Source organism: Homo sapiens, chromosome 1 (genome assembly GCF_000001405.40).
Source record: "Homo sapiens chromosome 1, GRCh38.p14 Primary Assembly".
NCBI lineage: Eukaryota > Metazoa > Chordata > Mammalia > Primates > Hominidae > Homo > Homo sapiens.
Genome location: NC_000001.11, coordinates 167,967,794 through 167,995,630, shown reverse-complemented (window position 1 = coordinate 167,995,630; position 27,837 = coordinate 167,967,794). Strand labels below are relative to the sequence as shown.

The 27,837-nt window shown below is 36.1% G+C and overlaps 1 protein-coding gene across 25 annotated transcripts in view, besides 1 other annotated feature; it reads right to left on the bottom strand.

The window, feature by feature from the left end:
* The window catches only part of DCAF6 (DDB1 and CUL4 associated factor 6), a 212,261-nt gene that overhangs the window by 80,206 nt on the left and 104,218 nt on the right, over positions 1-27,837 (bottom strand). For 24 of the 25 annotated variants that reach the window (NR_146229.2, NR_146230.2, NR_146228.2 and 21 more), the window contains 4 exons: positions 20,616-20,801; positions 8,023-8,136; positions 4,292-4,427; positions 2,191-2,405 (listed from right to left, as the gene is read on the bottom strand). Coding sequence is in view for 22 of the 25 variants with exons in the window: in NM_001198956.2 (NP_001185885.1) it covers positions 2,191-2,405; positions 4,292-4,427; positions 8,023-8,136; positions 20,616-20,801 (651 nt within the window). In the remaining 3 variants the exon portion in view is untranslated. Of the gene's footprint in view, positions 1-2,190; positions 2,406-4,291; positions 4,428-8,022; positions 8,137-20,615; positions 20,802-27,097; positions 27,184-27,837 lie in introns of those variants that run through there. The other variant, XM_024448375.2, reaches the window with a different exon arrangement.
* Positions 7,540-8,739: an enhancer, noted in NCBI's record as "CDK7 strongly-dependent group 2 enhancer chr1:167956130-167957329 (GRCh37/hg19 assembly coordinates)". NCBI's record gives its function as "activates an origin of replication core promoter dependent on BRD2, BRD4, P300/CBP, MED14 and CDK7 cofactors, with strong dependence on CDK7, by STARR-seq in HCT116 cells {active_cell/tissue: HCT116}" and the evidence as "EXISTENCE:reporter gene assay evidence [ECO:0000049][PMID:35650434]".

Below are 27,837 nucleotides of genomic sequence, written 5' to 3'. Positions count from 1 at the left end.
CTCGGCTCATGCAACCTCCTTCTCTTGGGTTCAAGCAATTCTCCTGCCTCAACCTCCCAAGTAGCTGGGATTACAGGCGCCTGCCACCAAGCCCAGCTAATTTTTGTATTTTCAGTAGAGAAAGGGTTTCACCATGTTGGCCAGGTTGGTCTTGAACTCCTGACCTCAGGTGATCCACTCGCCTCGACCTCCCAAAGTGCTAGGATTACAGGCGTAAGCCACTACGCCCGGCCAACAAGCATAATTTAAATCCACTTTCAGCATTGTTTTTCTTAATTTAGTTAATGCAACAAACAAGACCAAGGAAAAGTCTCCCAGAAAAAAAAATGTTCATGACTCAGCCTCATTCACTCTGATTATATAAATATCTTTTGGCTAAGTATTCCATGGTATCAAAACTAGTTGGCCCACTTAAAATGTCTATGGACTTCCAACTCTTTCATTATGTAACAATCACAGTTTGACTATAACTTTACTTACCCATGTATTTCAAGGGGAAATTTGCATAGCAGTAACAAAATGACAGAGCAGATTTCATGTTTTTAACCAGAATAAACTCAAAAATCATTTTATTAGCCATCATACCCTTCTTCATCAATTTCCTAATTCAAATAAATACACTGCAAGGATAAAAATCTCAAAGTATATTTATAAAGTAATCCTGATTTCTAATTTTACAGCCCTCTACACCTGAAATTATGAGGAATGAATATAGTTTTGTATCTCGTAGGAATTCCAAAATCACTGTTATTAGTAACCTTTAAAACGTATTAATAGGCATTGAGCCAATACCAAAAGGTCACTGAAAATAAAAATCAATGGTTAATTTCAAAAGACTTTTACAAGCCAAAGTTCAAAGTGAATAACACAGGACATTATAAAATAAAAAAGCCAAAGTGAAAAACATGTTGAGGAAAGAAGCTTAAACAGGTTAAAGCAAACATTTTTCTACAGCTGTGTACTGTCAAAGATACCTTATTTCTACTTTTCCCCTTTTATAAATAATAAATTCATTATCTTCTAGTAGTCTTGTGAAAGTAATTCATTCACCTACTTTTCAATATATACAACTACTTTAACTTATCTTTTTCCCACTTATATTTATTTTGTAAAATATACCTAAGGTTACTGTTATAAATCACTAGTATGTAACTGTGAAAGAGGCACAATTGGGACAGAAAGGGATTGCTGTCCATATATGAAGAGTAAATGGTAATACGTAAAACTTCTATTGATCCATGGACATACACATTTAGTCTCTTGGAAATTTATCATCATATTTTCTATTATTTTAATCGCCTTTTCTGCAAGTGTTAGCACTGTTGATCTTTCTTGCTGCTGCTGTACATCTACAAAGTTAAGATAAACATTTTGCTATCAAGTATATTCTCCTTAAAAATAATTTAAAATATTTTTTTCTAAAGCCTTATCCCTAATAATTCACTGTTAGGGATAAGGTTTTAGAAATAGTATTTAGAATACCAATAATAAATTAGTGATTTATTATTACTAATACATTATTAAGAATAGACGCTAGTAATTATTTACTATTAATTATAACACAAATTACAAAAATACTATTTTTGTCATTACTAATTATAATTACAAATTATTAGTAACTAATTACTAACTATAATTAGTAATTAGTAACTATTAGTAATTAGTAACTAATTGCTAATTATAATTAGTAATAACTGATAGTAATTTATTAGCTTCTATTCTTTCAAGTATGTCTCATGTTTTTTGTTTTCTGAACTGTAAGTGCCTTGAAAATTAATTTTTTTTTTTGGCCTTTAGGCCCCAAGAGTCACTGAATTGTTTTCTGAATTGAATAAAGGACATGGGGTTTTTGTTGTTGTTGTTGTTGTTGTTGTTTTTTCTGAGACGGAGTTTCACTTTTGTTGCCCAGGCTGGAGTGCGATGGCGTGATTTCGGCTCACCACAACCTCCGCCTCCCGGGTTCAAGCGATTCTGCTGCCTCAGTCTCCTGAGTAGCTGGGATTACAGGCATGTGCCACCACGCTCAGCTAATTTTGTGTTTTTAGTAAAGACGGGGTTTCTCCATGTTGGTCAGGCTGGTTGCAAACTCCCAACCGCAGGTGATCCACCCACCTCGGCCTCCCAAAGCGCTGGGATTACAGGCGTGAGCCACCGCGCCCGGCCAAAGGACATGGTTTTGAGTAAACCTACCTCTTCTCTTCTCTCTTCCGCAGAAGGAGTTTTAAGTTCTCGTGCTGTATCATCTTTCGGGTCAAAAAGATATATGTAATCTGAAGAGTAACTAACGAGAATCTCTTGACCATCTTCACTGTAACACAGAGATGTCACTCTGCAGGACTTATTATTAAGATGGGAAGGAATAAAACGGGCAACCATTCCAGTAGTCCCTCGACCTGCATAATTCCCTAAAAAAGAAACAAGAAGTTATTTAAAATTAATAATGTTTTAAAGAAAAACATTTTTTAAAACTCTTAATCTGAATTATTACATGTGACTTAATGTAGCAATACAAATAAAAGCCATCACGTTTATTTCCAGTAGAGGTTCTTCCTCTGCAGTCAGATTTTGTAACAAAACAAAAAAGAATATGGTATAAAGGTAACACCTCTACCAAAAAAATTCATGATTGTCTAGAATTCCAGATTACGTATGCTTTGTTGAAATGAGTTAATCAAGGAAAATGATTTATAAATACAATCACACGAAGTCATCTTCCAAAAGTTCCCCCCAAATTAAGATAACAAATTTTTACAAAAAGCTAATACTTATTAGCATACTACATACATTAGTATGCAACGTATGCAATATCCTTAAGATGATACAACTTTTACTTTTTAAAAAAATTTCTGATTGCCATGAAATTTGCCTGTTATATAGTACAGAGTTAAGAATACTATTCCAATTTTAATTAACTCTGGTAGTCTTCAATGCAATATGACAGATAGGTGTACAACTGGCACTTTGTGCCCTGGGGGCCCAGGAATGCTAAATTCTAAGAATCCCACAAAGCTGTATAACCTTGCAAAATGAAGTCTTATCATGCTCAAAATGTCAATTGTGTCCACCTGTTGAGAAACAATAATTAAGCCTATTATTTCATATTATATTACTGTTTCCCCTAAATGTACATATCCAAATAGACTGGACTCCTCAATTATTATTAGATATGTGACTTAATGTAGCAATATAAATAAAAGCTATCACAGTTCCGAAAAGAAAGATCTCATCTGGTATTCCCATCTCAATAATCTATGTCCATCTTTACTGACATTGTTGGTTTCTGCCCAAGTCCACCTTTATTTTTAACAATATAAAATATGTGAATATATGAATGTGCATTCGGTGTTTGTGTGTGTGTGTGTGTGTGTGTGTGTGTGTAATCCTGGCCTTCCTTTACTGAAAAAATGTGAATGGAAGTTGACTTCTAATTGTTTATTTTGGAAGTACTTTGATCCTATAGTGAGTGAAGGGAAAGAGCATTAGTTTATATTAGATTCAAATTCAGTACTCAGCATTATTAACAGCACTTTAAGGTAAGCAGGAATAAATATATGCTACACATTAATACATACCCAAGTCACTGTTTTAAATTTTCTTACTACCACATTTACCATTGTTTTCTTGATTGAAAAATAGCAGAGTCTCCCCAAAATTCATGTCTACACAGAACCTCAGAATGTGACCTTTACAGATGTAGTTAGTTACAGTGAGGTCATACTGGATTAGGGCCCACCTAATCCAGGGCCCACCTCACCCTAACTGGATTAGGGGTGGGCCCAAATCCAGTATGACTAGTGCCCTAAGAGGAAAATGTAAACGCAGACACACACAGGGAAAATTGCATGTAAAGAGAGTGGCAGAGATTAAGAGTGATTCATCTATACCAAGGGGATGCCAAGGATTGGCAGCAACCACCATGAGCTAGGGGAGAAGGCATCGAACAGAGCTTCCAGTAGAAACCAATCATAAGACATCCTGATTTCAGACACTGAGCCTCCAGAAATTTAAGAGAATAAATTTCTGTTGCTTTAAGATACCCAGTTTGTGGTCATTTGTTATGGCAGTCCTGCCAAACTAATACATCAAATGTTACAACTTTTTAAACTGCAAAAGTATCATCCCAAAGGGTCATAAACACTTGGTGAAATGTTATTTTTTATAATAATCCATATTAAACAAATACTATTTTCTGAAATTTTATAACAAACAAGAAATTTTAAAACTGAAAATGTCATAGAGATTTACTCTTTGAACTGACAGTCCTATATTTTCTCTAATATTATCTTCTTACCTGTAGCTCTTGTGCCCAGCATTCGCCGATCATATATTCGTACTGAGCTGTCAGAACAACCAACAGCAAGGTAATATGGTATTGGTGGGCAAATAGCAACAGACGTGGCAGCACGTCGACAGTTAATTAAAATATCCTACAAAACATAACATAATACCAATTACATATAGTTATACAGCAGAGGTGAAATTATATTTAAAATATTTTCTCATTAGTAATTAGAATAACCATTCTCAGAACTCCTAATTCAGTCAAGAATGACAATGAGCGGAAAAACAATACGGCTTTCTTTTAACTTTTTTTTCGGATTTCTACTAGAAATATTTCTAATACATTCAGCCTATGTGAAATCAAAATAAATATACTCAATCAATATTTCTAAGGAAGATACTCTTTTCTTTATAGTTGGCCATACAACTCCAAAATTGATTGATTTCTACCACAATATTGTAGACTTTCCTTATAAACCAATTAAAGTAAGAAAAAATATGAAAATACTAAACTTAATTAAAATACAGATTTTTAAAATGATCAGTATTTGAGCAATTAAATACATTCTAAAAAGGAAAAAATAAAAATTACTTTCAAATATAAGACTGAAAATACTGAGTAATTATACTAGAACAGCGCCAGCTACAAAAAGATGGTAATAATCCAAGAAACTCATATTTATGTGACAATTAAAACTCTTTCTAAACTAGCTACATTTCATACAATGTTATAATACAATTTGAATTATTTCTCAAAAATGCCTGTTAAATATTCCCATACTCATGAATAATGAACATCTTTAGAAATGTAAAAAATTCAAAATTACCTATATAATGTATCACTAAGTCATTAGTACCATTAGAAATGCCTGCTATTATTGGTCCACTTGACAGCAAAGATGGAGTTATAATCTACCTATGACAAATCTCTCATACTGTCTATAACTATTGATTATTTATATAGTATTCATATTTTTTTTTCTTTTTGAGATATGTCTTGCTCTGTTGCCCAGGCTTACAGTGGTGTGATCACAGCTCATTGTAACCTCAAACTCTTGAGGTCAGGTGATCCTCCTGTCTCAGCCTCTCAAGTGGCTAGGACTACAGGTGCACACCACCATACCAGGCTAATTTTTTAAAAAAAATTTTGTACAAATAGGGTCTCACTATGTTGCCTAGGCTTATTCATAATATTTTAATTGTAATCACTGCTATTAAAATATAACAAAAAATTAACTGACTTCTATATTTTATACTTTTTACTTATAAAACCTTTCTCCTTAACCAGCTCAAAAATAAAGTACACATATAAATACAAACCCTGCAAAAGACAGGTCTTACTATAATGTTATTACTTATCTCTGTAGAAGAATTAGAAAATGTAAGAGCTAGTACCCCAAACATATCCTGAAGGTACTCTGTTGATTCCATACTGCTTTGTCTAATGACTCTCACTCCTCATTCTTCTCAGTAATTTTTTTTTTTTTTTGAGATAGAATTTTGCTCTGTCGCCAGGTTGGAGTGCAGTGCAACCTCCACCTCCTGGGTTCAAGAGATTCTCCAGCCTCAGCCTCCAGAGTAGCTGGGATTACAGGCATGTGCCACCACGCCTGGCTATTTTGTATTTTTAGTAGAGATGGGGTTTCTCCACATTGGTCAGGCTGGTCTCGAACTCCTAACCTCAGGTGATCTGCCCGCCTCAGCCTCCCAAAGTGCTGGGATTACAGGCGTGAGCCACCGCGCCCGGCCCCTCAGTAATGTTTTTAAGTCAATTTAACCTTATACTTTGTTCAATTACTAATCTCAGAACATTACTCTCATTACATAGAATTCATTAACCAAATGCCTTTCATAATTCTAAGTTTTTAGTAGTTAAGGATTACTCTAGTTACCAGTTTTTCTTTATACTCTCTGCTTCATTTCACTTTTATACATAAAGGAAAAGTTTTACTAAGGAAAGACTACTTTCACGTCTTATCAGATTTGTTTTCTTATTTTCCTGGGGGTTTTGTTTAGAAAAACACAACTAAATCTTACTACACTGAAACACTAAAATAGTTTAAGAGAGTTTGCAATAACAAAATTTAGTACCCACCACTTACTCTAAGGAACAGGTATATCAAACAACCCTAATAACGTGATATTTAAGCTTATTTCTGAGTTTAGTTCAATGCTTCCCTATTTGCATATCTGTGTATATACAAATACGTAACAAAAAAACTGATTAAACTGTATGTTTAAAGGTTTTTTTGTTTTGTTTTGTTTTGTTTGAGATGGAGTCTCGCAGTGTCACCCGAGCTGGAGTGCAGTGGTGTGATCTCGGCTCACTGCAACCTCCGCCTCCCAGGATCAAGCAATTCTCCTTCCTCAGCCTCCCGAGTAGCTGGGATTACAGGCACCTGCCACCACGCCCGGCTAATTTTTTGTATTTTTTGTAGAGACAGGGTTTCACTATGTTGACCAGGCTGGTCTCCAACTCCTGACCTTGTGATCCACCTGCCTCGGCCTCCCAAAGTGCTGGGATTAGAGGCATGAGCCACCGCACCCAGCCTAAAGGTTTTTCAATTTCTACTTTTTGTTTTATTTCTGTTTCAAATATATAAAATAATCTTTTTCCCCTAAAGCATGTTAACCAGTTGGTAACTGGTTTAGTTAGCAAGCACTTAACCTGATTAACAGTAGTACCTTTTTTTTTTGTAACTTTCAGTAAAAACATATTTTGAATAGTACTTTCTTATTTCATTTACTACTTCAAAATGATCCAAGGAAAAACTACTGTGCTCTTAATAATGTATGTCAGGAAAAATCACTTGGAATTACTTGTCTGGGGTCAAAAGACTGAATGATTTCTCAGGCCTTTTGTAAGTTTAAAATAGTATTAAAAGTCAAACACAGTGGCTCATCCCTGTAATCTCAGCACTTTGGGACACCAAGTCGGGAGGATCACTTGAGCCTAGGAGTTTGACACCACCAGCCTAGGCAATATGGCAAGACCTCCTATCTACTACAAATAAAAAAAAAATTAGTTGAGCATAGTGGCACACACCCGTAGTCCCAGCTACTCGGGAGGCTAAGGCAGGAAGATTACTCGAGCCCAGAAGATTGAGGCTGCAGTGAGCTAGGATTGCACCACTGCACTCCGGCCTGAGATGACACAGTGAGACCTTGTCTCAAAAAAAATTAATTAATTAATTTAATTGTATTAAAGCATAAGAAACTGATAGTAGAGATATTATCTTTAGGAAAGTGGGCTAAATTTGAACAAACATGTTGATAGCATGCTATCTTATTATTTCTTTTTAAAAAAGATAACATGTAATTATTGGTTTAAAAGACAGGAGAAAAAAAGACAACTACCACAAGCTTTTATAACTGCTATTTGATAAGTCAAAGCTGTTTCCATGAGTAAATGAGATACATTTATATAAATTCTTCAGGTTTTTATATTAGACAGTATATACTGAACAAATTATTTGAATTTTCATAAATATATTTTAAATGTACAATTAAAATATAAGTTCTCCAACTTCAATATTAACATTTTACATTTTTCAATTTCTGATTATAAACTATATGCTTATTAAATATTTTAGCAAAACAAAAATTTAAAAATTCACCCATAATCTTACCATCCACATAACTTACTTTTAATTATAACCTTAATTATAACTTTAATTATAACCAATTTTAATTATAACCTTAATTTTTTCTGCATCATTTGTATAAAAATTTAATTCTTACATCTTTACAATCTTCTTTTGTGCAGCTAGTTTTGATGCGTGTATCAAACCACCTAACAGTTCCATCTTCACCACAAGAGAGAAAAGTGTAAGGGTCATTGGGTACAGTCATAATCTGAAGATGAAAAGAAAAGTGCAGATAATCATACGAACATTTAAACAGACGGCTCTGAAAAACATTCCTACTATTTCATAAAATGATTAAGGTAAAGGTTACAAAAACCATGCATTTTAGTTACTCATGGCTTACCCATACTATGATTCAGAATGGTACAATACAGATAGAAATAGATAAGAAGTAATTGTTGAATTAATATGATTCAGTACTTTGAAGATTAGCATTAACTTAACTTCAGATAAAAAGTTATCTGAAGTTATAAACTTCTAACAACTAGGGAAGAATGATTCTCCCCTAGGTAGCTTGTTCAAACTATTCAAAGCTTAATTTTTATGTTTTATCTATGTGAGTTTATAATTGTACAATAAATACGTAAGCAAATTTTCTTCTCTGGTAACGTTTAAGACAACTGTGGGATGCTGAAATGATTTAAGTGCATAACTCACCTCTTAGAAAAATTTTAATTGTGGTAATGGTTATACAACATGAATATACTTAATGTCAACGAAATGTACTCTCAAAACAATAGTTTAAATGTCAAACTTTATATGTATTTTACTACCATAAAAACCTTTTTTAATGAAGTACAATATTTTAGATATGCCTGTATCCACTTCTAATTTAGCAATGACAATATTGTAAGTTGAGGCTCTCTATAAACCCTGCCTCAATAAGTTCTTCTCTCCCTATGTCCCAAAGACCCAGTACTGGTCCGTAGCCTGTTAGGAAGTGAGCAGCAAAGCAGGTAGTGAGCAGCAGGTGAGCGAGCATTACCACCTGAGCTCCACCTCCTGTAGGATCAGCAATGGCATTAGATTCTCACAGGAGCATAGACACTATGGTGAACTGTTTCTCACAGGTTGTGCACTCCTTATGAGAAGCTAATGCCTGGTGATCTGAGGTATAACAGTTTTAAACCCAAAACCATCCCCACTCCATGGAAAAATTGTCTCCTGTGAAACCAGTTCCTGGTGCCTCTGCTATACATGGTTTTCTGTATACAATATTCCTATGTTTGAAACACTGTATATATGAAAGGTATTCAAACTCAGCCATCGAGGAAATATAAATTACCACCACAAAGATATACAGCTATACCATACCCGAATGGCCAAAATGAAAAGACTTATAATATCAAGTGTTGATGAGGATGTGGAGTTACGGAACACATTGCTGATGGGAGTATAAAATGGTACAATTGCAATGGAAAACTATGTATCAATATCTATTAAAGCTGATCATATGCTTCTCCTATAACCCAGCAGTTCCACTAAAAATAAACGCCTGCATGGGGCATGTAAAAACATGCACTAGAATGTTCACAGCAGCACTATTTATATTAGCCAAACACTTGAAACAACCCAAATATCCAACAATAAACTGGGATTAAATTGTTATCTATTCCTAAAATAAAGTACTAAATCATCAGTAATAATGAACAAATCATTACTATTCTCAGCAACATAAATGAATCTCACAAACCTTCTGTGTGAAAAAAGCCAGACACAAAAGAGAAGGCACAGTATGATTCCCATTTTTATAAAATCGTAAAAAGGCCCAAACTAACCTGTACTTTTAAGAGCCTAGAAAGCAGTAAACCCTTTGAGGGGGTACAAAGGACTTATGGGGGGCTGTTTCTTGTTCTAGATGCTGAGTACATATATATTTTACTTTGTGAAAATTAATCAAGTTGCACAAATACACGATGCCAGCACTTTTCAGTAGGTGTTTTATACTTTTTAAAAATTTACTTGGAAAACTTTTGTCTTAAAAGGTTTACTATTATTGTGGTAAGCAGAATAATAGTAGCCCAAAGATATCTACATCCTATTTGTTAGAACCTACGAATACTTTACCTTATACTGCAAAAAGGATTTTGTAGATGTGATTAATTAAGGATTTTGACCATAAGGAGATTATCCTAAATTATCCACAGAGGCCCAATATAATTACAAGGGTCTTACTGAGCAAAACAAGGCAGGAGAGTCAGAGTCAGAGAAGGAGACAAGATGATGGAAAAAGAGAGAAAAAGAAAGAGATCTCAAGATGCTATGTTGCTGGGTTTGAAGATAGAGGAAGGGGACTTGCTCCAAGGAATGCAAGTAGCCTCTAGAAGCTGGAAAAGGCAAGACCAGAAGGAATACACACTTGCCAACACTTCGATTTTAGCCCAGTACACCTTATTTCAGACTTCTGACTTCCAGAACAGTAAGATAATAAATTTGTTACTTTAAGCCACGTGCACACGCGCACGCACACACACACCACACACACACACACCACACACACACACACACACACACACACGACGTGGTTTGGCTATGATCTCACCTAAATCTTATCTTGAATTGCCACGTGTTGTGGGAGGGACCCAGTGGGAGGTAACTGAATCATGTGGGCAGGTCTTTCCCATGCTGTTCTTGTGATGGTGCATAAGTCTCATGAGATATGATGGTTTTTAAAATGGGAGTTTTTCCACACAAGCTCTCTTCTCTTGTCTGCTGTCATGTGAGACATGCCTTTCACCTTTCACCTTCCACCATGATTGTGAGGCCTCCCAGGTACACAGAACTGTAAGTCCAATAAACCTCTTTCTTTTGTAAACTGCCCAGTCTCGGGTATACCTTTATTAGCAGCATGAAAATGAACTATACATAATTTTTAATTTACCAAACTTCAATCTATTAATGTCCTTTGCTTCAATTGAACCAATTTTGCAATGAACACAGAATAATAAGATTTATACCCTGCAAAAAATATATAAAAAGTATATTCAACCTAAATAAGTATACATTTCAAGGAAAATGAGAATTTTTACTCATTTCATATTTGTGAAAATGTAATTAGTATTCCATCTAATCAAGTCAGCAGTTTACTTATGAAACTATTTTATCAGTAAGAAATATTTATGTAATTTATTGACTTAGCTTTGATGACTTTATTAAGTAAAATGATCACTTCTGCTTTGTATACTACTGTCTATAAATGAAATCATTGGAAGCATATATTTCCAAGGATATTTATTTTTAAAAACTAGAATACTGAATTTGATAATCAAATTAATGAACTATGAGCTGTACTCACACTATTATAAAATTAAATTATTAAAACATGTATCTATTTCTTATAATTAATGCCTTTATAAGATATGTTCAGAAATCTGAATCATTTAGGAACCTTTCCTCACAATTTAACCTTCCTCAAGAAGGAGGGGAAAAGTGTAAGAATGTTACAGAAGAAGCACTTCTGCAATGGCTGAATAAGACCTCTGAAAATATACTTCTCCATAAAAGCACTGACAACACTACAAAATTTCAAAATCAACTTTTTTAGAACTGTGAAATTTAACCAAGGGATTAGAACAATCCAAGAAACATTTATTCAAGACAAATAACTGGATCTCAGAAAGAATAGTGAGCCTTGAGCCACTTTAACTTGTGGTATTTTCCCTAAGTCAACAGCAGCCTTGCGACTATGGTAGTTGTAAAAAACAGTAACTTCGCAGCCACTGTAAGTCACAAAACAAGTTTGAGACTCCCCCAAATGCCCTATCCTCAAAGACTTATCACAATTTAATCTGTCCTTAAGTTCCCTGGAAAAGCTGCCTTTTAAGGACTTACATGAATCTGACCATATTCAACCCCATCCTAAGGGTGCTTGTCAAAAATAATCAACAGCAATGATTTAACATCACAGTTGCTTGAGGCAGTAATACTAGGTGAGGGAAACAAGAAGCTGACCAGAAAAAGTTAAAAGTAAAAGTAAGAATTAGACATTAATAGTAGAATTTGAAAAGCAACAAAACATTTCTGGGAATTTAGAAATTATGCACATATATAAGAATGTGCACATGCCAAAGAAGGACCCAAGAAGGCCCTACTCTAACATCTCTGGCTGACCTTGAGGCTCTGAACAAGCAAGAAGTGAAAGCTAAGGCAGAGTTGTAAATTTCCAAGGCACTTGAAGGCAACCCAAACACACAGGCCCCTTTGACAAAGACTGGAAGGCTTATTGGTTCAAGGCATTTAAAGAAATCTCTATCTAACCCTTAGCTGACAACTAAGCTAACCAAGAACAGACTCCAGTGCCTACACCTGAAAAAGAATGCAGATTTAACAGAATTAGTCTAGGAAAATCACTAAACAAACAGCAATGACAACAACAAACAGCAACAATGTTTTTCCATTTATTTCATGCTCACGGATTGGAAGAATCAATATCGTTAAAATGACCATTCAGCCCAACACAACCTACAGATTCAATGCTATTCCTATCAAACTACCAACATCATTTTTCACAGAATTAGAAAAAACTATTCTAAAATTCACATGGAACCAAAAAAGAGCCTGAACAGCCAAAGCAATCTTAAGCAAAAAGAACAAAGCCAGAGGTATCACATTACTTGACTGCAAACCATACTTTAAGGCTACAGTAACCAAAACAGCATAGTACTGGTACGAAAACAAGACACACAGGCCAATGAAACAGAATAGAGAACCCAGAAATAAAGCCACACACCTACAGTCATCTGATCTTCGACAAAGTTGACAAAAATAAGCAATGGGGAAAGGACTCCCTATTAAATAAATGGTGCTGGGATCACTGGCCAACCATATGTAGAAGAATGAAACTGGACCCCCCTACATTTCACCATATATAAAAATTAACTCAAGATGGATTCCAGATTTAAATGTAAGACCTCGAACTATAAGAATCCTAAAAGAAAATATAGGAAACGCCATTCTAGACATTGGACTTGAGAAAGAAATTATGACTAAGTCCTCAATAGCCACTGCAACAAAAACAAAAATTGACAAGTGGGACCTAATTAAACTAAAAAGCTCTGCACAGCAAAAGAAACTATCAACAAAGTAAACAGACAACCTAAAGAATGAAAGAAAATATTTGCCAACTATGCACCTGACGAAGGTTTAATATCCAGAATCCACAAAGAACTTAAAAAAATGTCATGCCTGTAATCTCAGCACTTTGGGAGGCTGAGGCAGGCAGATCATGAGGTCAGGAGATCAAAACCATCCTGGTTGACGCGGTGAAACCCCATCTCTACTAGAAATAAAAAATATTAGCTGGGCGTGGTTGCATGCGCCTATAGTCCCAGCTACTCAGGAGGCTGAGGCAGGAGAATCGCTTGAAAGCAGGAAGAGGAGGTTGCTGTGAGCCGAGATCGCACCACTGCACTCCAGCCTGGCGATGAAGCGAGACTCCGTCTCAAAAAAAAAAGAACTTAAAAAATTAAACAAGCAAAAACCAAATAACCCCCTTAAAAAATGAGCAAAGGACATGAACAGACACTTCGCCAAAGGCATACAAGGAGCCAACGAACACAAAATAAAATGCTCCACATCCACTAATCTCAGAGAAATGCAAATCAAAACCACAATGAGATACCATCTCATATGAGTGAGAATGGCTATTATTAAAAAGTCAAGAAACAAAAGTTGCTGGTGAGGCCGCAGAGAAAAAGGAATACTTATATACACTTGGTGGGAATGTAAATTCGTTCAGCCACTATGGAAAACAATTTGGAGATTTCTCAAAGAACTTAGAATGACCATTCAACCCAGCAATCCCAATCCTGGGTATATATCCAAAAGAAAACAAATTGTTCTACCAAAAAGACACATGCACTCACATGTTCATCGCAGCACTATTCACAATAACAAAGACACAGAATCAACCTAGGTGCCCATCAATGGTGGACTGAATGAAGCAAATGTGGTACATATACATGGAACACTATGCAGCCACAAAAATGAATGAAATCATGTCCTTTGCAGCAACTAAGATGCAGCTGGAGGCTATTATCCTAAGCAAATTAACACAGGAACAGAAAACCAAATACAGCATGTTCTCACTTATAAGTAGGAGCTACACACTGGATACTTGTGGACATAAAGATGGCAACAACAGAAACTGTGAACTAGTAGAGCAGGGAGGGAGAAAGGGAAGGAAGGGGTGAAACACTAACTACTGGGTACTATGCTCAGTTCCTGGGTAACAGGATCATTTGTACCCCAAACCTCAGCCTCATGCAATACTACCTATGAAACAAACCTGCACATGTACCCCTCGAATCTAAAATAAAAGTTGAGGAAAAAAATGAATCCATAAAGTAAGAAAAAAGCTGCTGGGAAAACTGGTTATCTACATGCAAAAGAATGAACTTAGACCCTTACCCTACATATGCAAAAATTAATTCAAAACGGATTAAAGATCTAAACCTACAAACTGAAAGTATAAAACTCCTAGAAGAAAACATGGGGGAGGCCGGGAGCGGTGGCTCATGCCTGTAAGCCCAGCACTTTGGAGGCGGAGACGGGCAGATTACCTGAGCTCAGGAGTCTGAGACCAGACTGGGCAACACGGTGAAACCCCATCTCTACTAAAATACAAAAAATTAGCCGGGCGTGGTGGCATGCGCCTGTAATCCCAGCTACTCAGGAGGCTGAGGCAGGAGAATTGCTTGAACCTGGGAGGCAGAGGGTGCAGTGAGCCACGATTGTACCACTGCACTCCAGCCTGGGTGACAGAGCTCAAAAAAAAAAAAAAAAAAAGAAAATTCAGAGAAAAGCTTCATGACATTGGATTTTACAATGATTTATTAGATATAACAACAAAATCACAGTTAACAAAGCCATAACAGACAAGTGGAACTACATCAAACTTAACAGGGTAAAAAGACAATCCATGGAACGGGTGAAAATATTTGTGAACCATGTATCTAAAAAAGGGTTAATATTTGGAATATATAAAGAAATCCTATGTTAACAACATAATATTCGGAATATATAAAGAAATCCTATGTTAACAACAAAAAATAATGCAGATTAAAAAAAAGCAAAGGAGATTTCTCCAAAGAAGATACACAGATGGCCAAGAAGCATATGAAAAGAAGCTCAACTTCAGTAATCTTTGGGGAAATGAAAATCACAACCACAGTAAGATAAAACTTCAAGCCCACTGGAATGCCCACTAAAAAAAAATTGTAAGTGTTGGCAAGGAAATGGAGAAGTTGGCACCCTTGCACACAGCTGGTAGGCATGTAAAATAGTGGAGCTGCTATGGAAAATAGTATGGAGGGTCCTCAAAAACTTAAAAATGGAATTACCATATGATCCAGCAATCTCTACTTCTGGGTACAGATCCGAAAAAACTGGAAACGGGATCTTGAAGAGATATTTGCACACTCATCTTCACTGCAGCATTATTCACAATAGCCAAGGAGTAGAAGCAACCTAAATATCCATCACTAGATGAATTTATTTATTTACTTATTTATTTATTTATTTCTGAGATGGAGTCTCACTCTGTCGCCAGGCTGGAGTGCAGTGACACGATCTCAGCTCACTGCAACCTCTGCCTCCCGTGTTCAAGTGATTCTCCTGCCTCAGCCTCCCAAGTAACTGGGACTATAGGCACATGCCACCACATCCAGCTAATTTTTGCATTTTTAGTAGAGACAGGGTTTCACCATGTTGGCCAGGATGGTCTCAATCTCTTGACCTCGTGATCCGCCCTCCTCAGCCTCCCAAAGTGCTGGGATGATGGGTGTGAGCCACTGCGCCCAGCCTGTTTATTTATTTTGAGACAGAGTCTCACTCTGTCACCCACGCTGGAGTGCAGTGGCATGATCTCAGCTCACTGCATCCTCCACCTCTTGGGTTCAAGTGATTCTCCTGCCTCAGCCTCCTGAGTAGCTGGGACTACAGGCACCTGCCACCACGCCTGGCTAATTTTTGTAGTTTCAATAGAGGCACGGTTTCATCTTGTTGTACAGGCTGGTCTTGAACTCCTAACCTCAAGTGATCTGCCCACCTCGGCCTCCCAAAGTGCTGGGATCACAGGCATGAGCCACAGCACACAGCCTAGATAAATGAATAAAGAAAATGTGGTATATACATACAACGGAATCTTCTCCTGCCTTATAAAGGAAATAAATTCTGACATATGCTACAATATGATCATGCTAAGTGAAATCAGTCAGTCATCAAAAGTCAAATACTGCATGATTACAATTATATGAGGTATCTAAAATAGTCAAATTCTTAGAAACAGAAAGTAGAATGATGGTTGCCAGGGACTAGGATAAGGAAGAAAGGAGAGCTGTTGATAGATGCAGAGTATCAGTTTTGAAAAAAAAAAATTCTATGCTAATTAAAGTGTGTATATGTATTTGGCAAAAAACATCTTGGGTAAATGGGTCTATCATGTTAAAATGGTCTTTCTTTTGTTTGTGTGCTGTTTTGGATTTTGATTTAATTTTCTAAAAAATAAATTATGTTAACACAAAAAACTTCATATGGGGTAAAAAAAAAAGTTGACTCAAGTCATACTATAACAAAAGTCAAATCCAGATAGATTACAGATCTAAATGCTAAAGACAAAGCAATGAAATTAAAGTAGAAGAATATCTTCATAACTTTGGGATAGGAAAAGATTTCTTAACCAGGATGCAAAAGATACTAATCATAAAGGAGCAGACCAACATATTAGACAACATTAAATACTTTTCTTCATCAAAAGACACCATTTTAGGCTGAAATCCCAGCACTTTAGGAGGCAGAGGCAGGAGGATCGCTTGAGCCCAGGAGTTCTAGACAAGCCTGGGTAAGATAGCAAGGCCCCGTCTCTACAAAAAATAAAAAAAATTACCCAGGTGCAGTAGTGCATGCCTGTAGTCTCAGCTACTTGGGAGGCAAGACGATTCCTTGAACCCAGGAGCTATAATCATGCCACTGCTCTCCAGCCTGGGTGAAAAAGTGAGACCCCATCTCTCAAAACACACAAACCGCACCCTCCCCCACCACTAGGAGAGTGAAAATATAACCACAGAATAGGAAAAGATAGGCTCATATGCAGAAGATATTTTTTCAAAAACTCCTATAAATTAATAATAACAAAATAAAATAAGACAAACAACCCAACAGAAAAAAATAGGCAAGAGATTTGACTACACATTTCATTAAGAATACATCCAAATAACCAACAAACATTTGAAGAGATGCTCAACCTCAGTAGTATCAGCACAGAGAGGCAAATGGAAACCAATTAAGATGATACTATACATCCACCAAAGTAGAGCTGAAAATACCAACTGTTGGCAAAGATCAGAAGCAACAGGACCTCTTACATGCTGTTGGTGGGAATGTAAGTCGTTACTACACTTTGGAAAACTATTTGGCTTTATCTCTAAAATAACCAAATATATATTCTATGACCCAGCAATTTTACTGCTAAGTATACACCCTAACAAATGTGTGCATTTGTGTACTGAAAAGACACGTAAAACAATGTTCTCCAAACTTCCAACAGCATAGAACAGATAAATCAATTGTGGTATATTCATATAATGGAATACTATACAGTAATAAAATGGGCAAATTATAGTTACACACAACATGGATGAATTTCACAAATGAGTTAAGATTTTGCTCAGCAAAAAAAGCCAGATACAAAAACAACAACAAAGACACAAAAAGCCATATTTCCATTTATATAACGTTCAAAAACAGAAAAACAGGGGTATTAGAAAAAACAGAAAACTCCAGTGTTAGAATTCAGAATAAAGGGAGCTTTTGGGATACTTAATGTGCTAGGTGGTAGTTACATGAATAGATTTGCTTTGTGATAATTCACTAAGCCATATACTTAGGATTTAGGTACTTTTCCTATATGTTCTATATTTCAATTTTAAAATTTTTAAATAGTGGATGGAATAAGGTCTAATAAGCAGGTCTGATATGGCTAATCAGAATTTCCCCAGACTACAAAAAAATGGAGAGAATAATGAAGTAGTAAACCAAAGACCTACTGACTGAAAATTTCTTACATTTTTCAAGATGCCAATTGCTCACATCAAGAACATCAACAAATCCCAAGTATAAAAAATAAAAAACAATGCACATCAAGACACACTGTTCTGACATAAAATAAGAAAAAAACCCGGCAAAGAAAAACAAAATTAAAAGTAGTCAAGGAAAAGAAACAGGTTACCTATACAGGAACCACAATTAGACTGATGTCTGACTTTGCAACTTCAACAATGGAAGTCAGAATATAATGGAATACCATCTGAAATACAGTAACTATCAAATGAAATCCATGCCCAGCAAAACTATCTTTGAAGAACTGGCATTTAAAAAAAAAAGACATTTTTCACAAAGGAAAGAAAAGGAAGAAAGGAAAGAATGAATGAAGGAAAGAAAAGGAAACTGAAATTGTTTTCTATCAACAAACTCTCATGTAAAAAAAAAAAAAAAAAACTGTGGCCCAGGCACGGTGGTTCATGCCTGTAATCCCAGAGCTTTGAGAGGCAGAGGCAGGCAGATCACCTGAGGTCGGGAGTTCGAGACCAGCCTGACCAACATGGAGAAACCCCATCTCTCCTAAAAAAAATACAAAATTAGCCAGGAGTGGTGGTATGCACCTATAATCCCAGCTACTCAGGAGGCTGACAGGAGAATTACTTGAACCCAGGAGGCAGAGGTTGTGGTGAGCCAAGATCATGCCATTGCACTTCAGCCTGGGCAACAAGAGCGAAACTCCGTCTCAAAAAAAAAAAAAAAAAAAAAAAAAAAAAAAAAACTGCTAAAGGATGTACCTTCAGTACAAAATGATACAACATGGAAAATGTGTGATGGGAAGAAGGAAAGGTAAACCAAAGGTATTAGTAAATATGCAGGTAAATCTAAACAAACAACACTAACAGTAAACCAATAACATCTAATTCATGAGAGAAAACAGAATATAACTAAATCCTGAACAATATAATCACATAAAATGGAACAAGGTATGTTCCAAGTTCCTTTATTCAAGAGAAGAGTAGAAATATTTACTGATATTTGGCTTTGTTCGATATTCTTGTGAAAGTAGCTGGGGTAACCTCCAGAATAACAAAAATGAATGTCTATCTTAGAAGCAAGAAACAGAAACACAATGGACAAAAAGTAAAATACTCAAGTAATTCGAAAGGTAGACTTTATTTTTATTTTTTATTTTTGAGACACAGTCTCACTCTGTCGCCCAGGTTGGAGTACAGTAGCGCAGTCTTGGCTGACTGCAACCTCTGCCTCCCAGGTTGTTCAAGCAATTCTCAAGCCTCAGCCTCCCAAGTAGCTGGTATTACAGGCGTGCACCACCACACCCAGCTGATTCCTGTATTTTTAGTAGAGACAGGGTTTCACCATGTTGGCCAGGCCGGTCTCAAATTCCTGGCCTCAAGTGATCCGCCCACCTCAGCCTCCCAGAGTGCTCAGATTACAGGTGTGAGCCACCACGTCTGGCCTCCAAAGGTGGACTTTTAAAAGGAGAGGAGGGTTAATGGAGATTGGAAACTTTTTTTAAAAAGTAGAAAACAAAGGGATAGAAACAAATCCAAATATATCAGAACTCACAATAAATGTAAATTCATAAATCTCCAGTAAAACCCCAAAACTGTGAGACTGGATAAGAAAACAAAATCTAGCTATATATATAAGTACATACAAAAACATGAGGACATAAAAGAACTGGAATTCAAATGATGGAAAAAGTATACCAGTTTAACACAAAAAATGGGAAACCTATCAATAATTTGATACAAAAAAATGACATGCAAGTATTTCAGAAGAACACTCTGGAGGCTAGTACAGTGGCTCACATCTATAACCTTGGCACTGTGAGAGGCCAAGGTGGGAGGATTGTATGAACTCAGGAGTTGGAGACCAGCCCTGGCAACATAGCAAAACCCTGTCTCCACAACAACAACAACAAAATTAAATTAGTTGGGCATGGTGGCACATGCCTGTAGTCCCAGCTACTCAAGAGGCTGAGGTGAGAAGACTGCTTGAGCCTGGGAGTTTGAAGCTGCAGAGAGCCATGGTCATGCCACTGCACTCCAGTGTGAGTGACAGTGTGACCCTGTATCATAAATAAAAGAGAACTCAGTTGTACATTTTTTCTGAACCACATAAAGCACTAAAATTGAGTCTTAAATTTATTCCACCTTATTTAATTCAGCTCAGGTCTTAAGCTCATTAATATCCTTTAGGAATCTGATTCTTTTGTCTACTGGAGTCCCTTCTATCCTACAAAAATTTGATAAGCATGTTGGCTATGACTTTACACAAGCAAGCGATTGTTTAAAAGGGTAAAGCCTAGTACAGTCATGCAGCACAATAACAGAGGTATCTTTAAAGGTAAACGTCTGTTTGCTTACAGCATGGTTGCTCAAGCAATTACAAACCCATCTTAGAGTACTATTACTTGCATCTTATTTCTTAACTTTATCCAGAAGCCTATCAAGATACATTTTCTCAAATGCTCTGCTGACACCTAGATATTGTCAATAATTTATATGCATCAAATGTGCATACACACACATCTGTACATGTACACACATGCATCTACACATGTATGTACTTAATCAAAAATATACATACTTACATATATATCATATAATCATAATAATACCATACCTCATAAGTAGTTCCATAATGACACGTAAATTGGCATTGTCTGTTGGTTTCTGCATCTTGCTCAACGTTGGTATAAAATATTACTCCATCTCCAGAGCAGGATACAATCTGTTTATCATTTGTACAAGGTAAGAACTTTGCACTAAATATGTTTGCTCGGTGCCCTGAACGAATTGTTGTCAAAACCTAAAACACACAAAGAAAGCAGTTAATGGTAACTTATTATTTCCTAGAAATATTCATTTTTAATATAATCATAGCCAGTAATACATTCTCATTAACATTCTCATCTCAGTGAAAGATTATCACTAGACTGCAAGCTATTATAATTTAAAAAAATCAGAATCCCATATATTTTCTTTTGTTCCCTGTGAGATGTGAATAAGATTGAGTACCATCAACAGGAACAGTATCATGAAAATAAAACATGCATATTTCCATTTATTTAGTTTATCTGACTCACTCATAAAATCTCAATAAATAACAACGAACTACTTTGACTGACTTTTGAAATTTACTGTATGCTAAATGATTAAGTTATTCCCTTTCAGGATGACAAAACAATAAACTGAATTTTAATTATTTTCATAAAATCAAAGTAATGAAATGGTACACATAAGACACAGCAGAAGTCCCTACATCCAATTAATAATATTTAAAAGACCAGAATTACTGTGACAGTAATAAAGTTTAAAATTGATATTTTAATATTTGTATAATTTGTTGCAGATAAAGGACTAATTCTCCTAGTAGTGTTTTAAAATTGAGAGGAAAAATAACTGACAAGACCTGATTTTTTTTTAATGGGCAAGGTACCAGAACAGACAGTATACATGCAGATATACAAATGGCCCTTAAAAATAGTAAAAAATACTCAACTTGGATCATTCATAAGGGAAATGCAAATTGAAATTATGCTGAGATATCAATTCTCACTTAACAGACTGGCAAAAATTCAAGAGCTTGACAACAGACTCTACAAACAAGCTTATGTGAAAACAGACTCTTAAACACTGTTGGTAGGAATGCTAAACGGTAATACCAGTGGAAGGGAATTTAGCAATATCTCACAAAACTACGTATGTGCTTACTCTTTGACTAGGCAAATCTATTTCTAGGAATTTACCCCAAAGATATGCTTCCAATAAGACCAAAAAAAATGTCAAAGATTATTTACTGAGTTATTTATAACAGTAAAACACAGGAGACTGGTTGAATAAACTACAGTATATCCCCATAACAGATATACAATAGAGAGGTGAGTGGGGAATATCTGTTGTGCTTTTTTAAAGTGCTAAGAAAAAAGAGAAATGTCAAAACACCAACACTAAGTTGGCTTGAAATCTCCATGGAACAAATTTAGGACAATTTGAGTATCAAAAAGAATAACATCAGTGATTGACTATAAAACACTGAATTAAAAAAATGTTTAAGGTGCTAGGGACAGAGAAAATGCTCTTATTTACTGAAGAATGTAAATTAATAAATGTAGAAGAAATGACAATTTAAAAATCACTGTTTTGTGACATTACAACAACCGATTCAAACAGAAGTCATCAATTAATATAAAAACCACTGGGGGAAAGACTGTTAGGAAAGAATATTCAGTCTCAACATGCCACTTCACAGACAGCTTGTTAGTTACAAAGGGTAACCCAAAATAGAGGGATCAAACAACATCTCCAATAAGGGAATAAATTATATAACATCATGTACCACAATATCACCTGAGAATTCTCACCAAAAATGTTTAATCTGAATCTACTCATGAAGAAACAATCAGACAAATCCAAATGGAGCAACATTCTGTAAAATAACTAGCCTGACATGTCAATGTCATGAAACAGAGAGAGTAATTAACGTAAAGCCTTTAAACAAGATAAATATCATGTTCTTTAACGCTGTCAGAGATTTAGGGTGGTTTACCAAGTAGCTAACTACACACTACATACAGCCATTAGTTACTTCGTTTGTTAGGCCATTGGCTTTGGCTGTGCATTAGTAACATTCAGCAGACATTACTCTTAAAAATTTATGATTTACCTCCACTTAAGAGGTTTATTTATAATTTCAGTAACAAAAGCAGGAGCCTCACTGCTTCATCAGTCACTCATAAATTGAAAAGCATTCCCTTATTAAATAAACTAATTAAAATTTAGTGAGTAAAAAATTGGGGGCCCGTTCCTTTGAACAAATCTCTAGATTTCAGATGCCCCTCTCAAAATACACTCCCCTCTTCCAGTGTTCTCCATCTCAATGGCATCAGTATCCACCCATACAGTTGATCAAGTCAAAAACTAAGGAACCTTTTTTCATTTTTCTTTCCCTCATCTGCTGTATCAAATCCACCAGCAGAGCCATGCCAAAATACATCCCAAATTACTTTTCACCAACTCCAATGTCATTATCTGTGCCTGAGTCATCTTTCCCTCTTACCTGGATTATTTCAATGGCCTCCTATCTCCTACTTCCAATCTAGTTCAAACTCTACCCTCCAAAAGCAGCCAGAGCTATCTTTTAAAAATATAAATCATATCAGTACATGTTTAAAACCCTACAGTGACTGTCCACAAAAATCACACTAAAATGTAAACTCCTTAATAAGCTTATCTGATTCCTATCATTTGAACTTCATTTTGTACCACTCTCTAATTTATTAATGAATAATTGTTCAAAGAATTATTATTCGTGTTATGTATGTATAGTTGGTAATTTCAATGAAGGTTAGAATTTGTTCTTTAATTGTTGAAACCAAATCTATACAGCCAATATGGGTATGTATGATACTGCAGATAAACAGCAATAAGGCTGATTAAAAATATTTATGTGTACTTGGGAAGTTATAATTTTTGATAGCTGGGCCAGGCATGGCGGCTCATGCCTTGTAATCTCAGCACTTTGGGAGGCCAAGGCAGCTGGATCACCTGAAGTCAGGAGTTCGAGACCAGCCTGCCCAACATGGCGAAACCCCATCTCCACTAAAAATACAAAAATTAGCCGGGTATGGTGGCGCATCCCTGTAGTCCCAGCTACTCGGGAGGCTAAGGCACGAGAATCACTTGAACCCGGGAGGTGGAGGTTGCAGTGAGCTGAGAATACGCCACTGCACTGCAGCCTGGGCGACAGAGCAAGACTCTGTCTCAAAAAAAAAAATTACAATAACAATAATAACTTTTTATTGATGGATTTATCTTCTTAGTTGTGCTTTCCTTGGATCAATGCATTATGAGTTATTCTGAAAACACCCTAAGGATAATGCCCTAGAGAGGTATAATTGCCAGAGTAACTTAATCTGAGATGAAAATAACATATTGATAATTGCAATGATTACTATACGTTAAGGTGGTCTAGTTGTAACATCTGTCATTCTGCTGATTACCAGTTTATTTTGACTAAATAGCTGGCCAAAGTTGGCATCTCTTTCCTTCTTAATCATGTCACGTACAACACTCCCAAAACTTGAAGCTCAGTCCAAAAGTATCCAAATAGTAGAGGATGGTTTTTTAATCCCTTGGTAAAAACAACCCCCTTTCAAACCTGACCCATAACCCTGTCTGAGGTATCGAATATACAGATTTATACACTCGTTTTACTAAGACTTAGTGGGCTCCAACTATATGAGAGGTAAATAAATAATGTTAAGTGTTGAGGATGCAAAAAGAAAAAAGAAATTGTCATTATCTCAAAGAAGTTGCCATCTAAGCACAACATGCAAACAAATATAATACAATATAATAATAGAGTTATCCACAAGACAGGAACACAGATGAAGGAGTGGCTACATGTGTCCAGGAAATGTTAGAGAAATATCACAAAAAAGAGCTGAGATTTGAAGAATGAATTTTAAATTTACCAAGTAGATGGGAGATACCCGAGAAAGCAGGTGATCTCAGAAAGAAAGAAGAGTATAAGCAAAAGCACACAGTAATGAAAACTTTTTAAGCTCTGAGGACTATAAGTAGCTGGCTGAGGCCAAATCAAGAAAAATCATGTATACAGTATATATTTGGAATTTATTTTACAAAAGATATTGCAAGACCATCTCTGGGCTTCCTTCTCTTTCACCTATGCCATAATAGGGTACCCTAATGGGACTCCCCAGTATATGATGGGGAGTCTCTATGCTATATATAATTAAAATATAATTGCATTAATAAGGAATATCTCCAGTCTCTTAAATCTATTTTTTTAAAAAACTAAGTGTTTCAAAACTCTTATTTTCAATAAATTAATGTTCCCACAAAATCATAGGATCTAAAAATAATCAAACTATAAAAACAGGTAGTATTTGACTCATGGTCAAAAAGCTTTTTTTCCTATATAATGAATCATTGGTGTTTTAAAATTTTAAAAAGCCCTATAAAGGCTTATGATAATAATTTTTTTTTTTAAGATATCAGCTCTTGCTGTCATCCAGACTTGGAGTGTAGTGGTGGAACGCCTGGGCTCAAGTGATCCTCCTGCCACTCCCTCCCGAGTAACTGGGACTACAGGCATGTGCCACCACATCCAGCTTTTAAATTTTTTGTAGAGACAGAGTCTCACTACATTTCCCAGGCTGGTCTTTAACTCCTGGCCTCAAGCGATCTTCCCACCTCGGGCCTCCCAAAGTGCTGGGATTATAAGCGTGAGCCACACACTTGGCCTATGATTATAATCTTTAAAAAGAAAATCTGACTAATCATTTCTCAAGCTGGAAATGAGAAAGAGTATCATTTTTTCAAATATACATATTCTATTGGAAATCATACATCAAAGGGATCGTCATTTCTTTAAAAATAAGCAAATAAAACAGAAACAGGTCTTTTAACAATCATTCCTTTGGTACCCAAGTGATTATTTTGTATAATGTAAGAGTTAAAATTCTGAATAGTGATCGTCAAAAAGCTTTCTACATATACATTATTTCAGGAAATCTTCTCTATTATAAGAAAAGGGGGCTAGGCGCAATGGTTCACGCCTGTAATCCCCAGCACTTTGGGAGGTGGAGACAGGTGGATCATTTGAGCTCAGGAGTTCGAGACCAGCCTGGCCAACATGGTGAAACCCCAACTCTACAAAAAATACAAAAACTAGCCGGGCGTGGTGGCACACACTTGTAGCCTCAGCTATTTGGAAGGCTGAGGCAGGAGAAACTCTTGAATCTGGGAGGCAGAGTTTGCAGTGGGCCGAGATCGTGCCACTGCACTCCAGCCTGGGCAACAGAGCAAGACTCTATCTCAAAAAAGAATAATAAAAAATAAAATGAAAAGTGTTACCCTTGTAATTACTGACCTAAGAGAAGTAGGATTTGAAAACATCAAGCTTTTTTTGCTAAGCCAGGACAATTAAGTAAAACTTAATGAAATAAAACTACGACCCATTAAAGACAGCCTCAATATGAACTTCTTTTTCAGCTGATAGATGATACACACTTATTTAAATATCTTATTAAGTGTGGAAAAACAAGAAATAAACAATTTATTCTGTAAAACTGAAAATTTTAAATTACACTTTGGACTGCTAATACCATGTTTTCAGATATAAAAACAGCTGTATACTTCCTCTATATATGAACTCAGAAGCTAAAAGCCAATGAAAATCAGAACATAATCCTAACCTAATTAGAACTCATATGTTATCCCAGCTTATCGAATTGTATATCATGAAGCATTTCACTAGAACCTAGCCACTGTTTGTAAACTGATAAAAATCCAGTTTCTTAAACTACTTGGCTGAAGATTACATTCTATGAGCCTAAAAGAGTAAGTCATAACCTGTAAGATCCAGCTTCAAACAGCCAGCCAGGCCCATTCAAACATCACTATATAACCTAAATTAATAGACAAAAATGTTTTAAAACATTTTTAGAAACAAATATAAAATATTAATATTAGAAAGGACTTTAGACATAATGACTTTCTTAATATATGAAGAAAAAGGCTAAGGAAAGTTTAAATAACTTGGTCAGAATGGTAAAAAAAAACCAACATATAAATCTATATTTGCCATTATAGTAATCATAATATAATTTTAAAATTTTCATGGAACTCTTCTTCATTCAAAGACCTAAATATTAATGAAGTAAATTTCACATTGCAATAATACCAAGAAGCAGATAAAGGTAAGACTACTGTGCCACTTATCAAATTATTTCCTCTCAGTTCCAAATTTACCCTTCACTTTTATAGATTATGCAATGGAACTGAGTCCTTCAAATATTTTTCCTTTGCCAGTTGGCATGATGTTAAGCTTTGCCAGTAAAAAGCACTGAAAGAATAATGCAGGAAAACGGAGTTTGCTTCCTATCTCTAATGGGAGCTCCTGCAACCATGCACAGGTTTTCCAGTGCCAGGGTCTTCCAGCACGGGCAGTTTCCCCAACACCATAGCACCAGAGTCCTGCAGTTTCACCAGGGCCCACCTACTAAATGAACAGTTCAACACCCGACAGCTTCTCCTGCCTCATTTCCCCACGTCCCTAGACATTTTGTAGCATACTACCTCTGATGAGAAACCTCTCCTTAAAAAGTATTTCTCAGTGCTCTAGAGAGAGGTGTTCCACCAAGTTCCAGAGGGGAATTCGCAACAAGTTACACTAGCATGACATCACAGAGACTTCCCTGCCATCCAGTGAGCCATGACACCCTCTTCAATAAGGTCTAAATCTCAGCACTCAGCACGGGGGGGTCTCTTCTTTTCAGTGGTTTATCTCAGTCCCAGGGTTAGTGGCGGTTCATAGTATCTGTTATTTCTGTATTTTATAGAGACCTTTTTACTTTTTAGCAGCCAAGCCTTTACTACTCCAATCTCCTGATATAGGTAGTAATTCTTTTTATTACACTTTCCCTATTGAAATTACTGTGTGGTTTCTTTGACTAGAACCCGACTGATACAATCACCAATACACGGTTGCTACTACCATAAAAAATTAAAAGCTGGAGTACATTTTTGGAATTACTATTAAAATAATAGATGTTAAAAGACTTAAAGATACAAGAAATTTGGGCTGGGCGTGGTGGCTCATGCCTGTAATCCCAACACTTTGGGAGGATGAGGTGGGCAGATCACTTGAGGTCAGGAGTTCAAGACCAGCCTGGCCAACATGGTGAAACCCTGTCTCTACCAAAAACATAAAAATTAGCCGAGCATGGTGGCACACACCTGTAATCCCAGATCCTTGGGAGGCTGAGGCAGGAGAATCGCTTGAACGCAGGAGGCAGAGGTTGCAGTAAGCCGAGATC